We start from the raw sequence: 17,547 nt of genomic DNA on the forward strand, positions 1-17,547 counted from the left end.
TTAGTGCAGGCCTGTAGTCCCAGGTACTCAGGAGGCTGAGACGGGAGAATCGCTTGAACCCGGGAGGCAGAGGTTGCAGTGAGCCGAGATTGCACCACTGCACTCCAGCCAGGTAGACAGAGCAAGGCTCCGTCTCAAAAATAAATAAATAAATAAATAAATAAATAAATAATGTTTTTGAGATAGTCTCAAAAGGGTGTTCAGGCCCTTATGTGTTCCCCCCACTCACACACACACACACACACACACACACACACACACACACACACAGGATCTGGGCTGACCTGGACTCCACTGAATCCACAGAATACAGCATCGGCAACATTGACCCAGCAGTCTCTCTGCTTTGTGTGTTGGGGAACCCCAAGTCACCGTGGCAGGAGTGTGGCCACCTTGCTCAGGAGTCCACGTGGAGAGGCCACATGGAGAGGTCAGCTATCCCAGACATGACAGACCTTCTGGATGGGACATCCAGCCAGCCCGGCCCCCAGATGATGGCAGCCACTGTCACATGGAACAAATGAACCCCCAGTGAGCCTGGTCAGCCCAGAGCCAGGAGAGAGGATGCGACAACAGGTGTTTGGAGCCAGTGGGCATGGGGCGGTTTGCTCCACTGAGAACAAGAATGCATGACAGTCAGGACGGTCCAGAGCCTAGAGGTCCACTTAGGTGGCATGTGGCACCCACACCAGCCTCACAGCCGGGCACACATATCCCTGACATACCCTGTTGTCCGTCGAGGCTGACTCGTGACAGAGAAAACGTTAGAGAAAAAACCTGGCTGGATGCAGTGGCTCACACCTGTAATCCCAACGCTGTGGGGGGCCGAGGTGGGAGAATTCCTTGAGATCAGGTGTTGGAGGCCAGCCTGGGCAACATAGACCAACCCTGACTTTACAAAAATAAAAAATTAGCTGGGTGTGATACATGTGACTGTAATCCCAAAACTCGGGAGACTGAGGCAGGAGGATTTTTCTTTTTTTTGAGATGGAGTCTTGCTCTTGTCACCCAGGCTGGAGTGCAATGGCAGGATCTTGGCTCTCTGCAACCTCTGCCTCCCAGGTTCAAGCAATTCTCTTGCCTCAGCCTCCCAAGTAGCTGGGATTACAGGCGCCTGCCACCACACCCGGCTAATATTTCTATTTTTAGTAGAGATGTGGTTTCACCATGTTGGCCAGGCTGGTCTCGAACTCCTCACCTCAGGTGATCCGCCCACCTTGGCCTCCCAAAGTGCTGGGATTACAGGCATGAGCCACCGTGCCCAGCCCAGGCAGATCTCTTGATCCCAGTTCAAGGCTGCAGTGAGCTGTGATCACACTACTGCACTCCAACCTGGGCAACAGGTCCATCTGAGTCCATCTCTAACGGTCCCAGGGAGGTCACTCCCCTGCAAGGAGGCTACTGTGGCCCCCAACATCCCATTCAGAGATTTAGAAGCTGAGGATAAGGGAGGAACTTTGCCCTGTCACCCAGAAGTCAGGGTGTGAATTAACTTTACCGGTCACCAACCTTTTTGGCAGCAGGGACTGGTTTCATGGAAGACAATTTTTCCACGGACCAGGGGTGGGGATGGTTTCAGGATGATTCAAGTACATTACTTGTTTTTGTTTGTTTTTTGAGACAGTCTTGCTGTGACACGCAGGCTGGAATGCAGTGGCCTGATCACGGCTCACTGCAGCCTGGACCTCCCAGGCTCAAGCAATCCTCCTACTTCAGCCTCCCAAGTAGCTGAGACTACAAGTGCACACCACCACCCACAGCTAGTTAAAAAAAAATGTATAGGCCAGGCACAGTGGTTCACGCCTGTAATCCCAGCACTTTAGGAGGCCGAGGCGGGCGGATCACCTGAGGTCGGGAGTTCAAGACCAGCCTGACCAACATGGAGAAACCCCTTATCTACTAAAAATACAAAATTAGCCAGGTGGGGTGGCACATGCCTGTAATCCCAGCAACAAGAACGAAACTCTGTCTCAAAAAAAAAAAAAAAAAAAAAATTTGCAGAGATCCCTATGATGCCCAGGATAAATAATAAAACCTTTTTTTTCTTTTTTGAGACAGAGTCTCACTCTGTCACCCAGGCTGCAGTACAATGGCGTGATCTCAGCTCACTGCAATTTCCACCTCCCAGGTTCAAGCGATTCTCCTGTCTCAGCCTCCCGAGTAGCTGGGATTACAGACGCCTGCCACCACACCCAACCAATTTTTTGTATTTTTGGTAGAGACAGGGTTTCACCATATTGGCCAGGCTGGGGGGGAGGGAAAAAAAAGAGGGAAAGGGGGAGAATATCCAATTTCTTTTATTTTTAAATTTTTTATTTTAGAGACAGGGTTTTGCTCTGTTGCCCAGGCTGGAATGCAGTGGTGTGATCACAGATCACTGCAGCTTCCAACACTTGGGCTCAAGCAATCCTCCTGCCTCAGGCTTCCCAGTAGCTAGGATGACAGGTGCACACAACCACACCCAGCTAATTTTTTTATTTTTGGTAGAGATTAGGCCTTGCTATGTTGTCCAGGATGATCTGAATCTCCTAGCCTCAAACCATCCTCCCACCTCGGCCTCCCAAGCACTAGGATTACATGTGTGAGTCACCAAAATGAGTACAGGGCTTCCTTTTGGGGTCATGAAAATATTCTGGCAGTAGATAGATATGGTTGCACTGCACTGTGAATGTACCAAATGCCACTGAATCATTCACTTCACAATGGTTAATTTTATGTTATATGAATTTCACTTTGATAAAAACAGATGTGGCCGGGCACAATGGCTCATGCCTGTAATCCCAGCACTTGAGAGGCCAAGGCCAGTCGATCACCTGAGGTCAGGAGTTCCAGACCAGCCTAACCAATATGGTGAAACCCCATCTCGAATCTCTACTAAAAATACAAAAATTAGCCAGGCATGGTAGCATGCACCTGTTGTCCCAGCTACAGGAGGCTGAGACAGAAGAATTGCTTGAACCTGGGAGGTGGAGGTTGCAGTGAGCCAAGATCACACCACTGCACTCCAGCACTCCAGGTTGGATGACCGAGCACGACTCCATCTCAAAAAAAAAAAAAAAAAAAAAAAAAAAAAAAAAAAAAAAGAGGAAGCCAGGCACTGTGGCTAAATTCTATCATCCCAGCCCTTTGGGAGGCCAAGGCAGGTGGATGACTTGAGGCTAGGAGCTTGAGACCAGCCTGGGCAACATAATGAGACCCCATCTCACAAACAAAAAAGATTTCTTGGCCAGGAATGGTGGCTGACGCCTGTAACCCCAGCACTTTGAGAGTCTGAGGCAGGTGGATCACAAGGTCAGGAGTTCAAGACCAGCCTAGCAAACATAGTGAAAACCCCATCTCTACTAAAGATACAAAAAATTAGCTGGGCGTGGTGGCACGTGCCTGTAATGCCAGCTACTCGGGAGGCTAAGGCAGGAGAATCACTCTAACCCAGGAGGCAGAAGTTGCAGTGAGCTGAGATCACAGCACCACTGCACTCCAGCCTAGGCAACAGAGCGAGACTCTGTCTCAAAAACAAAAAACAAGAACAAAAACAAACAACAGTTCTAGAGATGGGTGGTGGTGATGAGTGCACAACATTGTAAAAATACTGAATACCTTTGAAGCCCACCTTAAAATTGTTAAAGTGGTCAATTTTATGTTATTTTTAGGTATAATACTTACGTACTTTTTGTATTTTTTTCTATTATGTATTGATATGTATATTTAACAGTAGAAAAAAAATGATGGTCACTCGATCGGAAACAGAAAAGGTTAAAGCAAAAGTAAAATGCATGAAAACCAGGGAGAACTGCCAGATAAGCACATGGTCAGTGACCCTGGATTAGCCCGAGGCTGACTGGGTGTTGGACATGGGGAACGACCACCACCTAGGGGCAACTTGCCATCTGCCGCTATGTTCTTTCTGGGACTTGGAAAAACATGCATTACTAGGAACTTCCCCTACTGTTATTCCCTGTTTCCCCCGCCACCCCGCCCGAGACAGAGTCTTACTCTGTCTCCTAAGCCGGAGTGCAATGGGCGATCTCGGCTCACTGCAACACCCGCTTCCCGGGTCCAAGCGATCCTCCTGTCTCAGCCTCCTGAGAAGCTGGGATTATAGGCACAGGCCACCATGCCTGGCTAATGTTTGTATTTTTAGTAAAGACGGGATTTCGCCACGTTGGTCAGGCTGGTCTCGAGCTCCTGACCTCAAGTGATCCGACAGCCTTGGCCTCCCAAAGTGCTGGGATTACAGACGTCAGCCACCGCACCCGGCCTGTTATTTCCTCTTAATACTGACATCATCCTCCTGTTTACCAATCTTTGTCACAGACCAGGTGGCATCTCTGAGAAAACAGAAATCAGCAGGAGAGACCTTCCAGAGCCACTGCCCTCCATCAACCTGCAGACCTGCATCAGGACCCAGACGCAGTGGCTCTTCCTCTTGCCCTGTGAGAATCAATTTGCCCTGGATGCAGCAAAACCACGCCCCCTTCTCCACCAACTCCTCCACCCCTTCATGGGCCTAGACAAGCACCTACCTCAACAACCTCCCCGCACCCCTGGAGCATTCCTATCAGCACACAAATAGGTTGATGCATTTTTCCCTCCTTTGTTTTTATTATTAAGGTGAAACTCACACGGCATAAAATTAACCTTTGTTTTTTTTCCTTTTTTTTTTTTTGAGACTGAGTCTCGCTGTATTGCCCAGGCTGGAGTGCAGTGGCGCGATCTCGGCTCACTGCAACCTCTGCCTCCCAGGTTCAAGCGATTCTCCTGCCTCAGCCTCTCAAGTAGCTGGGACCACAGGCTCGTGCCACGACACCTGGCCAATTATTGTATTTTTAGTAGAGACAGGGTTTTGCTATGTTGGCCAGGCTGGTCTCAAACTCCTGACCTCAAGTGATCCATCTGCTTCAGCTTCCCAAAGTGCTGGGATTACAGGTATGAGCCACCATGCCCAGACCCTTCTTTTTTTGAGAGAGAGAGAGAGACACAGACAGACAGAGTCTTTGTCACCCAGGCTGGAGTGTAGTGACTAGATCTCAGCTTACCACAACCTCCACCGCCCGCCTCAGCCTCCTGAGTAGCTGGGACTACAGGCACACGCCACCATACCCTGCTAATTTTTGTATTTTTTGTACAGAAAGGGTCTTTCTATGTTGCCTAGGCTGGTCTTGAACTCCTGGCCTCAAGGGATCCTCCTGCCTTGACCTCTCAAATTCATTTTCTTCTGAGGGCTTCTATTCCATGCAAAACTTCTATTAAGTAAATCTGTATCCTCTCCTGTTAACCTGTTTTTGTTTGTTTTGTTTTCTGAGACAGTCTTGCTCTGTCACCCGGGCTAGAACACAGTGGCACAATCTCAGCTCACTGCGACCTCCGCCTCCAGGGTTCAAGCAATTCTCCTGCCTCAGCCTCCCGAGTAGCTGGGATAACAGGCACCAGCCAGCACGCCCAGCTAATTTTTTGTATTTTTAGTAGAGATGGGGTTTCACCATGTTGGCCAGGCTGGTCTCAAACTCCTGACCTCGTGATTTGTCGACCTCGTGATTTGCCCGCCTCGGCCTCCCAAAGTGCTGGGATTACAGGCGTGAGCCACTGTGCCATGCCTGGCCCTATTTTTTTTTTTTTGGTAGGGGGAGATGGAGTTTCCTCTTGTTGCCCAGGCTGGAGTACAGTGGTACAATCTTGGCTCACCACAACCTCCGCTTCCTGGGTTCAAGCAATTTCCTGCCTCAGCCTCCCAAGTAGCTGAGATTACAGGTGCCCACCATGACACCTGGCTAATTTTTGTATTTTTAGTAGAGACAGGGTTTCACCATGTTGGTCAGGCTGGTCTCGAACTCCCGACCTCAGGTGATCCAGCTGCCTTGGCCTCCAAAAGTGCTGGAATTACAGGCGTGAGCCACCACGCCCTGCCTGTTAACCCATTTTATGTCAACTTAATAATTCTCAGGCCTAGAGGGATCCTAAGAGAACAGAGGTGAATTTTTGCTGCCGGACCTGCTGCTATGAACTTTAATCTATGAGTTTTTTTTTTTTTCTCGAGTTAGTATCTTGCTCTGCTGCCCAGGTTGGAGTGCAGTGGCAAGATCAGGGCTCACTGCAGCCTCAACCTTCTGGCCTCAAGCATTCCACCTAGTTCAGCCTCCTGAGTAGCTGGGACTACAGGCAGGCACCACCACACCCAAATAATTTTTGTATTTCTTGTAGAGATGAGGTCTCACTATGTTCCCAGGCTGGTCTCAAATTTTCGGGCTGAAGTCATCCACCCACCTTGGCGTCTCAAAGTGCTGGGATTACAGGCGTGAACCATCACGCCCAACCCTTTTTCCTTTTTAAGATACAGCAGGGTCTCACTCTGTTGCCCTGGCTGGAGCACAGTGGTACAATAATAGCTCACTCCAGCCTTGACCTCCGGGACTCAAGCAATCCTCCCATCTCAGCCTCCCAACTAGCTAGGATTAAACATGTGAGCCACCATGCCCCGCTTCCATCTCTTTTTCATTTTGTTTTGTTTTTTGTACAGAATATTGCTCTGTTGCCCAGGTTGGAGTGCAGTGGCATGATCTCTGCTCACTGCAACCTTCTCCCAGGTTCAAGCGATTCTCCTGCCTCAGCCACCCGTGTAGCTGGGATTACAGGCACCCGCCACCACACCCGGCTAAATTTTTCATTTTTACAAGAGACCGGGTTTCACCATGTTGGCCAGGGTGGTCTTGAACTCCTGACCTCAAGGGATCTGCCCGCTTCAACCTCCCAAAGTGTTGGGATTACAGGCGTGAGCCACCGCACCCAACTTTTCATCTGTTTTCTGATTCTTCCTTAGCTCCAAAACATCTAAGGTTTGGCTGCATTCACTCCTCTCCAGCCCACAGACGCCCAACTGGGCCAATTCCCAAATTCATCATTCTAGCCCAAACCCTAGGGTCCAGTGCCTTCTCAGCCTCTGCCACAAGGGGTCCTCGCAGGCCGCTCCAGTGTTGCAGGTCCCAATCTGGACTCCTAGGGGTTTCCCACCCAAGCCTTGTCCGAGCGTCCTCTCCCTCTCAGTTAGCACCATCTTCCCAGGCTCTGCTCTGACAGTTCTGAGGCATCCACGCCTCCTCCCACCTGCATCCAATGTGTCTGCCAATCCTACAGCCCCCATCGCCTTTTCCTTCAAAACAGACCTAGAAGCCAGTTATCACTGACCACCTGCACTTGCCAGCTAGGTCCAGCCCCTTCCTGACTTCTGGGGATCAGTGCAGTTGTCCCCTCCCTGGTCTCCCTGCAGGTTCTGTTCTCCCCACTGCAACCAGAAACACCTTCTCTTTTTTTTTTTTTTTTTTTTTTTGAGACAGAGTTTTGCTCTTGTTGCCCAGGCTGGAGTGCAATGGTGCAATCTTGGCTCACTGCAACCTCCGCCTCCCGGGTTCAAGCGATTCTCCTGCCTCAGCCTCCCTAGTAACTGGGATTACAGGTGTCTGCCACCACGCCCGGCTAATTTTTTGTATTTTTAGTAAAGACGGGGTTTCACTATGTTGGTCAGGCTGGTCTCGAACTCCTGACCTCAGGTGACCCACCCACCTCAGCCTCCCAAAGTGCTGGAATTACAGGCGTGAACCACCACGCCCAGCTCTTTCGTTTTCTTTTGAGACAGAGTCTCGCTCTGTCGCCCTGGCTGGAGTACAATGGCATGACCTCGGCTCACTGCAGCCTCTTGCCTCCCAGGTTCAAGCGATTCTCCTGCCTCAGCCTCCTGAGTAGCTGGAATTACAGGCATGCACCACCATGCCTGGCTAGTTTTGTACTTTTAGTAGACCGGGTTCGACCATGTTGGCCAGGCTGGTCTCGACCTCTCAAAGTGCTGGGATTACAGGAGTGAATCTCCGCACCAGCTTTTTTTTTTTTTTTTTTTTTTTTTTGAGACAGGAACTTGCTGTCACCCAGGCTGGAGTGCATTGGCGGATTTCGGCTCACTGCAGCCTCTGCCTCCCAGGTTCAAGCAATTCTTCTGCCTCAGCCTCCTGAGTAGCTAGGATTACAGGCATGCACTACACCACATCCAGCTAATTTTTTTTTTTTTTTTTTTTAAAGACAGTTTCCCTCTTGTTACCCAGGCTGGAGTACAATGACAAGATCTCGGCTCACTGCAACCTCTGCCTCCTGGGTTCAAGCAGTTCTCTAGCATCAGTCTCCCAAGTAGCTGGGATTACAGGCGCCTGCCACCACACCCAGCTAATTTTTGTATTTTTAGGAGAGACAGGGTTTCACCATGTTGGCCAGGATGGTCTAGAACTCCTGACCTCAGGTGATCTGCCCACCTCAGCCTCCCAAAGTGCTGGGACTACAGGCATGAACCAGTGCACCCAGCTGCTAATTTATTTTAGTAGAGATGGGGTTTTGCCATGTTGTCCAGGCTGGTCTCGAACTCCAGTCCTCAGGCGATCCACCTGCCTTGATCTCCCAAAGTCCTGAGATTACAAATGTGAGCCACCGGGCTCAGCCCTATTTTTTCAGGGCTATTTTGTTCATGGTTAGAACCAGGAACAGCACTGATACATAGTAGCATTCAACAGATATATTTTATTGTTGTTTTCTAGAGACAGGATCTTGCTCCATTGCCCAGGCTGGAGTGCAATGGGTGATCATAGCTCACTGTAGCCTCCATCTCCCAGGCTCAAGCAATCCTCCCACCTCAGCCTCCTAAGTAGCTGCAACTACAGAAACTTCAGGTATGTGCCACCATGCCCAGCTATTTTTTTTGTTTGTTTTTTAGTATAAATGAGATCTCACTATATTGCCCAGGCTGATCTCCAACACCTGGGTTCAAACAGTCCTCATGCCTCAGCCTCCCAGAGTGCTTGGATAACAAGTGTGAGCCGCTGCACCTGACCATCAACAAGTATCTTTTTTAACCAGCTTTTACCAGTCGGGGTCTGGCCATGTTGACCAATCTGTATGAAACATTTTTTTGTTTTGTTTTAAATTAGCTGGGCACAGTGGCGCAGACCTGTAGTCCCAGCTAATCAGGAGGCTGAGGCGGGAAGATCTCTTAAGCCTGGGAGGTTGAGGCTACAGTGAGCTATAATTCTATAACTGCACCACCGTACTCCAGCTTGGGAGCCAAAGCAAGACCCTGTCTCTAAGGAAGAAAAAAATGAAAAAAAGAGTTTCTGAGCTATCATACTAGCTTCAGTTTGCTAGGGTGGCCATAACAAAATACCACAGCTTGGGTAGGTTAAAAACAGAAACTTACATTTCTGGAGGCTGACGTCCAAGATTAAGATGTCATCAGGGTTGGTTTCTGCTTTTCATTTTTGAAACGGAGTCTTGCTCTGCTACCTAGGCTGGAGTGCAGTGGCACCATCTTGGTTGCACTGCAACCTCCACCTCCCAGATTCAAGCAATTCTCGTGCCTCAGCTTCCAGAGTAGCCCCAGGTTCAAGCAATTCTCGTCCCTCAGCTTCTCGAGTAGCTGGGATTACAGGCGCCCACCACCACGCCCGGCTAATTTTTCTATTTTTAGTAGAGATGGGGTTTTGCCGTATTTCCGGGATGGTCTCTAAATCCTGACCTCAAATGATCACGCCTGGGATTACATGCGTGAGCCACCGCACCCGGCCCAGAGCTGGTTTCTACTGAGCCCCCTTGCTTTGTCTTACAGAGCCGCGGCCGCCTCCTGTGTGCCCTCACATGCTCTCTTCTCTGCATGCACCCTTCGTATTTCTTAGTGTCCATATTTCTTCTTCTTGTAGGGACACCAGGCAGATTGGATGAGGACCCGATGTAGCAGTGTATCCAGAATTGGTGGGGTCTTGGTCTCACTGACTTCAAGAATGAAGCCACAGACCCTCGCGGTGAATGTTACAGTTCTTAAAGGCAGCGTGTCCACAGTTTGTTCCTTCTGATGTTCGGATGTGTTCGTAGTTTCCTCCTTCTGGTGGGTTCGTGGTCTTTCCGGCTCAGGAGTGTAGCTACAGACCTTTTGCAGTGAGTGTTACAGCTCATAAAGGCAGTGTGGACCCAAACAGCGAGCAGCAGTAAGACTTATTGCAAAGAGAAAAAGAACAAAGCAACCACAGCATGAAAGACAACCCAAGTTGCCACTGCTAGCTGGGGCAACCTGCTTTTATTCCCTTATCTGGCCCCACCCACATCCTGCTGATTGGTCCATTTTACAGAGAGCTGACCGGTCTGTTTTACAGAGAGCTGATTGGCCCATTTTGACAGGGTGCTGATTGGTGTGTTTACAATCCCCGAGCTAGACACAAAAGTTCTCCAAGTCCCCACAGAGCACTGATTGGTGCATTTACAAACCTTGAGCTAGACACAGGGTGCTGACTGGTGTATTTACAAACCTTGAGCTAGACACAGAGTGCTGATTGGTGTATTTACAATCCCTTAGCCAGACATAAAGGTTCTCCAAGTCCCCACCAGATTAGCTAGATACAGAGTGCTGATTGGTGCAATTACAAACCCTGAGCTAGACACAGGGTGCTGATTGATGCATTTACAATCCCTCAGCTAGACATAAAGGCTCTCCAAGTCCCCACTAGACTCAGGAGCCCAGCTGGCTTCAGGCAGTGGAACCCGCAGGGGGTCAGAGGTAGAGCTGCCCACCAGTCCCTTGCCACACGCCTGGACTCCTCAGCCCTCTTGGCTTGGGCAGTCGATGGGACCAGGCGTCGTGGAGCAGTGGGTGGCGCTCATGAGGGAGGCTCGGGCGGAGCAGGAGCCCAGGGCAGGGGGAAGCCTCAGGCATGGGGGGCTGCAGGTCCTGAGCCCTGCCCAGCCGGGAGGCAGCTGAAGCCCCGCGAGAATTCGAGTGCAGCGCTGGCGGGCCGGCACTGCTGGGGGACCCGGCACACCCTCCACAGCTGCTGGCCCGGGTGCTAAGCCCCTCAACTGCCTGGGGCCGGTGGCACCGGCTGTCCGCTCTGAGTGCGGGGGCCCACGCCCACCCGGAACTCGCGCTGTCCCACGAGCCCCTTGCGCACAGCCCGGGTTCCCGCCCGCGCCTCTCCCTCCACACCTTTAGCAAGCAGAAGGAGCTGGCTCCAGCCTCGGCCAGCCCAGAGAGGGACTCCCACAGTGCGGTGGTGGGCTGAAGAGCTCCTCAAGCGCGGCCAGAGTGGACGCGGAGGCCCAGGAGGCACCGAGAGCAAGCGAGGGCTGCCAGCACGCTGTCACCTCTCAGCAGCTGCTTTTTTTTTTTTTTTTTTTTTTTTTTTGAGACAGGGCCTTGCTTTGTCTCCCAGGCTGGAGTGTAGTGGCGCTAACAGCTCAGTGCAGCCTCCTGGAATCAAGCAATCTTCCCACCTCAGCCTCCTGAGTAGCTGGGACCACGGGTGCACACCACCAAGTCCTGCTAATTAAAAAAATTTTTTTTCTTTTCTTCTTTTTGAGACGGAGTTTCCCTCTTGTTGCCCAGGCTGGAGTGCAATGGTACAATCTCGGCTCACTGCAACCTCCGCCTCTCAGATTCAAGCAAGTCTCCTGCCTCAGCCTCCCAAGTAGCTGGGATTACAGGCATGTGTCACCATGCCCACCTAATTTTGTATTTTTAGTAGAGACGGGTTTCACTATGTTGGTCAAGCTGGTCTTGAACTCCCGACCTCAGGTGATCCACCTGCCTCAGCCTCCCAAAGTGCTGGGATTACAGGCGTGAGCCACCACACTTAGGCTTTTTTTTTTTTTTTTTGAAACAGACTCTCACTCTTTTGCCCAGGCTGGAGTGCAGTGGTGGGATCTTTGGCTCACTACAACCTCTGCCTCCTGTTCTCAAGTATTTCTCGTGCCTCAGCCTCCTGAGTAGCTGGGATTCAAGTGTGCACCACCACACCGAGCTAATTTTTTGTATTTTTAGTAGAGGCAGGCTCTCCCTATGTTGCCCAGGCTGGTTTCAAACTGCTGGCCTTGTGCAATCCACCCACCTCAGCCTCCTGAAGTTCTGGGATGACAAGTGTGAGCCACCACACCTGGCCTTAATCACCCCTTTAAAGACCCTGTATCCGGCCTGGCATGGTGGCTCACGCCTGTAATCCCAGCACTTTGGGAGGCCAAGGTGGGTGGATCACCTGAGGTCAAGAGTTCGAGACTAGCCTGGCCAACATAGTGAAACTCTGTCTCTACTAAAAATACAAAAATTAGCTGGGCGTGGTGGTGAGCGCCTGTAATCCCAGCTACTTGGGAGGCTGAGGCAGGAAAATGACTTGAACCCGGGAGGCGGAGGTTGCAGTGAGCCGAGATCGCGCCACTGTACTCCAGCCTGGTGGCAGAGCAAGACTCTGTCTCAAAAAAAAAAAAAAAGAAATTAACCGCTGCTCACAGCTGTGCTAGCTTACAGGAACAAAGGCCAAGTGCCAATAACCACAAATGAGCCACAAGATGAGAGCTGACCTCAGCAGTGCTCCATAGGCCTGATTCCTCACTCCACTGGCATAATAAAATCTCCACAGCCAGGGTGCACTGGCTCCCAGCTGTCATCCAAGCACTTTGGGAGGGTGAGAAAGGCGGCTGGTCTCAAACTCCTGACTTCAAGTGATCCCCCACACCTCAGCCTCCCAAAGTGCTGAGATTACAGGCGTAAGCCACCACACCCGGACTATAACATCCATTCTTTTAGGGAGCCCCAGAACCTGTGAAATTAATCTCTGCTCTGGCCGGGCATGGTGGCTCACACCTGTAATCCCAGCACTTTGGGAGGCTGAGGCGGGTGGATCACGAGGTCAGGACATCGAGACCAGCCTGGCCAACATGGTGAAACCTGGTGTCTACTAAAGATACAAAAAAGTAGCCAGGCATGGTGGTGTGTGCCTGTAATCCTAGCTATTTAGGAGGCTGAGGCAGGAGAAATGCTTGAACCTGGGAGGCAGAGGTTGCAGTGAGCCGAGATCACACCATTGCACTCCAGCCTGGGCAACAGGGCGAGACTCTGTCTCAAAAAAAAAGAAATTAACCCCTGCTCACAGCTGTGCTAGTTTACAGGCATGAAGGCCGGATGCCATTAACCACAACTGAGCCACAAGATGAGAGCTGACCTCAGCAGTGCTCCATCTGCCTGAATCCTCACTCCATGGGCAGAGTAAAATCTCCACAGCCAGGGCACAATGGCTCCAAGCTGTCATCCCAGCATTTTGGGAGTGTGAGGAGGGAGGATTGCTTAAGTCAGAGAGTTCAAGACCACCCTGGGCAACATGGTAAGACCCTCTCTTGGCCTGTAATCCCAGCACTTCAGGAGGCCAAGGTGGGCAGATCACGAGGTCAGGAGTTTGAGACCACCCTGGCCAACATGGTGAAACCCTGTCTCTACTAAAAATACAAAAAAAAAAAAAATTAGCCGGGTGTGGTGGCACGCGCCTGTACTACTCAGGAGGCTGAGGCAGGAGAATTGCTTGAACCCGAGAGTCAGAAGTTGCAGTGAGCTGAGATTGTGCCACTGCACTCCAGCCTGAGCGACACAGCGAGACTCAGTCTCAGAAAAAAAAAAAAAAAGACCCTCTCTCTACAAAAAATAATGTAAAAATTAGCCGGGCGTGGTGATGCATGCCTGTAGTCCCACCTACTTGGGAAGCTGAGGCAGGAGGATTGCTTGAGCTCAGAAGGTCGAGGCTGCAGTGAGCTACGATCGCACCACTGTACTTCAGCCTGAGCAACAGAGTGAGGTGCTGTTTCAAAAAAAAAAAAAAAAAGCTGGGTGCGGTGGGTCACACCTATAATCCCAGCTACTCAGGAGGCTAAGGCAGGAGAATTGCTTGAACCTGGGAGGCGGAGGTGGCAGTGAGCTGAGATCGCCCCACTGCACTCCAGCCTGGGTGACTGATCGAGACTCTGTCTCAAAAACAGAAAAACCAAAAAAAAAAAGTCTTCAGTGGGGAGAGGTGCACTTTGCTAAGCACATATAATGCCAGGTACAAAAGAAAAGAAAGGCTGAACACTTCAGTGCCCCCTAGAAAGCCCCACCTCTTTCCAGGAATCCCCACCCCCAGTCTGCATCTACATGCCCTAGGAAACTTTAAAACTCCCCTCATCACACCTGCAGGGAGTAGGCACTTTGAGCAGGAGTTCCTCCCTTTCTCCATTCATTGATTGACGAATAAAGTTTCTATCTTGCTTTACTGAACCTGGTCTTGTTCTGTTGGTGCAAATGGCAACCCGCAGAGAAAGGACTCATTAGTCTCAAACAATCCCCTTAAGAGTGGGTAACAGCGGACACCATGGCTCACACCTGTGATCCCAGTGCTTTGGGAGGCTAGGGTGGGAGGATCACTTGAGCTGAGGAGTTAAGAGACCAGCCTGGGCAACGTAGAAAGACCTCATCTCTAAAAAAAAAAAAAAAAAAAAAAAAAGGCAGAGGGGAGGGGGGCGGGCGTGGTGTTTCACGCCTGTAACCCCTGCACTTTGGGAGGCCAAGGCAGGCAAATCACCTGAGGTCGGGAGTTTGAGACCAGCCTGACCAACATGGAGAAGCCCCATCTCTACTAAAAATACAAAAAATTAGCCAGGCATGATGGCACATGCCTATAATCCCAGCTACTCGGGAGGCTGAGGCAGGAGAATCACTTGAACCCAGGAGGCAAAGTTTGCCGAGATGGAGCCATTGCACTCCAGCCTGGGCAACAAGAGGGAAACTCCACCAAAAAAAAAAAAAAAAAAAAAAAAAAAAAAAAAAAAAGGCGAGGGGGAGGAGGGAGACTTTAAAAAAAGAAAAATAAAAAAAGTTTTTTTTGGCCAGGCACTGTGGCTCACGCCTGTAATCCCAGTACTTTGGAAGGCCGAGGTGAGCGGATTGCCTGAGGTCAGGAGTTCGAGACCAGTCTGGCCAACATGGTGAAACCCCGTGTCTACTACAAATAGAAAACAAATTCGCCTGATGTGTTAGTGCAGGCCTGTAGTCCCAGGTACTCAGGAGGCTGAGACGGGAGAATCGCTTGAACCCGGGAGGCAGAGGTTGCAGTGAGCCGAGATTGCACCACTGCACTCCAGCCAGGTAGACAGAGCAAGGCTCCGTCTCAAAAATAAATAAATAAATAAATAAATAAATAAATAATGTTTTTGAGATAGTCTCAAAAGGGTGTTCAGGCCCTTATGTGTTCCCCCCACTCACACACACACACACACACACACACACACACACACACACACACACAGGATCTGGGCTGACCTGGACTCCACTGAATCCACAGAATACAGCATCGGCAACATTGACCCAGCAGTCTCTCTGCTTTGTGTGTTGGGGAACCCCAAGTCACCGTGGCAGGAGTGTGGCCACCTTGCTCAGGAGTCCACGTGGAGAGGCCACATGGAGAGGTCAGCTATCCCAGACATGACAGACCTTCTGGATGGGACATCCAGCCAGCCTGGCCCCCAGATGATGGCAGCCACTGTCACATGGAACAAATGAACCCCCAGTGAGCCTGGTCAGCCCAGAGCCAGGAGAGAGGATGCGACAACAGGTGTTTGGAGCCAGTGGGCATGGGGCGGTTTGCTCCACTGAGAACAAGAATGCATGACAGTCAGGACGGTCCAGAGCCTAGAGGTCCACTTAGGTGGCATGTGGCACCCACACCAGCCTCACAGCCGGGCACACATATCCCTGACATACCCTGTTGTCCGCCGAGGCTGACTCGTGACAGAGAAAACGTTAGAGAAAAAACCTGGCTGGATGCAGTGGCTCACACCTGTAATCCCAACGCTGTGGGGGGCCGAGGTGGGAGAATTCCTTGAGATCAGGTGTTGGAGGCCAGCCTGGGCAACATAGACCAACCCTGACTTTACAAAAATAAAAAATTAGCTGGGTGTGATACATGTGACTGTAATCCCAAAACTCGGGAGACTGAGGCAGGAGGATTTTTCTTTTTTTTGAGATGGAGTCTTGCTCTTGTCACCCAGGCTGGAGTGCAATGGCAGGATCTTGGCTCTCTGCAACCTCTGCCTCCCAGGTTCAAGCAATTCTCTTGCCTCAGCCTCCCAAGTAGCTGGGATTACAGGCGCCTGCCACCACACCCGGCTAATATTTCTATTTTTAGTAGAGATGTGGTTTCACCATGTTGGCCAGGCTGGTCTCGAACTCCTCACCTCAGGTGATCCGCCCACCTTGGCCTCCCAAAGTGCTGGGATTACAGGCATGAGCCACCGTGCCCAGCCCAGGCAGATCTCTTGATCCCAGTTCAAGGCTGCAGTGAGCTGTGATCACACTACTGCACTCCAACCTGGGCAACAGGTCCATCTGAGTCCATCTCTAACGGTCCCAGGGAGGTCACTCCCCTGCAAGGAGGCTACTGTGGCCCCCAACATCCCATTCAGAGATTCAGAAGCTGAGGATAAGGGAGGAACTTTGCCCTGTCACCCAGAAGTCAGGGTGTGAATTAACTTTACCGGTCACCAACCTTTTTGGCAGCAGGGACTGGTTTCATGGAAGACAATTTTTCCACGGACCAGGGGTGGGGATGGTTTCAGGATGATTCAAGTACATTACTTGTTTTTGTTTGTTTTTTGAGACAGTCTTGCTGTGACACGCAGGCTGGAATGCAGTGGCCTGATCACGGCTCACTGCAGCCTGGACCTCCCAGGCTCAAGCAATCCTCCTACTTCAGCCTCCCAAGTAGCTGAGACTACAAGTGCACACCACCACCCACAGCTAGTTAAAAAAAAATGTATAGGCCAGGCACAGTGGTTCACGCCTGTAATCCCAGCACTTTAGGAGGCCGAGGCGGGCGGATCACCTGAGGTCGGGAGTTCAAGACCAGCCTGACCAACATGGAGAAACCCCTTATCTACTAAAAATACAAAATTAGCCAGGTGGGGTGGCACATGCCTGTAATCCCAGCAACAAGAACGAAACTCTGTCTCAAAAAAAAAAAAAAAAAAAAAAATTTGCAGAGATCCCTATGATGCCCAGGATAAATAATAAAACCTTTTTTTTCTTTTTTGAGACAGAGTCTCACTCTGTCACCCAGGCTGCAGTACAATGGCGTGATCTCAGCTCACTGCAATTTCCACCTCCCAGGTTCAAGGGATTCTCCTGTCTCAGCCTCCCGAGTAGCTGGGATTACAGACGCCTGCCACCACACCCAACCAATTTTTTGTATTTTTGGTAGAGACAGGGTTTCACCATATTGGCCAGGCTGGTCTCGAACTCCTGACCTCAGGTGATCCGCCCACCTCTCGGCCTCCCAAAGTGCTGGGATTACAGGTGTGAGCCACTGTGCCCGGCCAAAACGCAGTCTCTAAAAACATAATTAAAAAATAATTAAAACAGGGTGAGTCTGAGACCATCCCAGGAAACCTGGCTTCCACTGCACTGAGGAGGAAGCCACAGTGGGTGGGGGTCCCCAGACCTGGGAATGGGAAGGCACTGCCCAAGCTCTGCTCTTCTTCCAAGAATCCTGATGTTAACGCAGACTCCCCACCCCAGCCCTGCTGCCCCTGCTCCCAAAAAGCAAGCAGCACAGTAGCTGCACACAGGGCTGGGTGTCCATGTCCCACCTTCTATGGGCTGGGCTCTCATGGAGGAGGGGCTGCAGCAGCGACCCCAGGCTGCCCAGGCCAAGGGAGACAGAGACCCAGAGGCAGGCG

General features: G+C 50.9%; 1 annotated feature.

Moving 5' to 3' along the window:
* Window positions 9,993–10,193: a silencer, noted in NCBI's record as "peak3333 fragment used in MPRA reporter construct". NCBI's record gives its function as "represses an SCP1 promoter by STARR-seq MPRAs in K562 erythroleukemia cells {active_cell/tissue: K562}" and the evidence as "EXISTENCE:reporter gene assay evidence [ECO:0000049][PMID:32103011]".

Source organism: Homo sapiens, chromosome 19 (assembly GCF_000001405.40).
Source record: "Homo sapiens chromosome 19, GRCh38.p14 Primary Assembly".
Taxonomy (NCBI): Eukaryota; Metazoa; Chordata; class Mammalia; order Primates; family Hominidae; genus Homo; species Homo sapiens.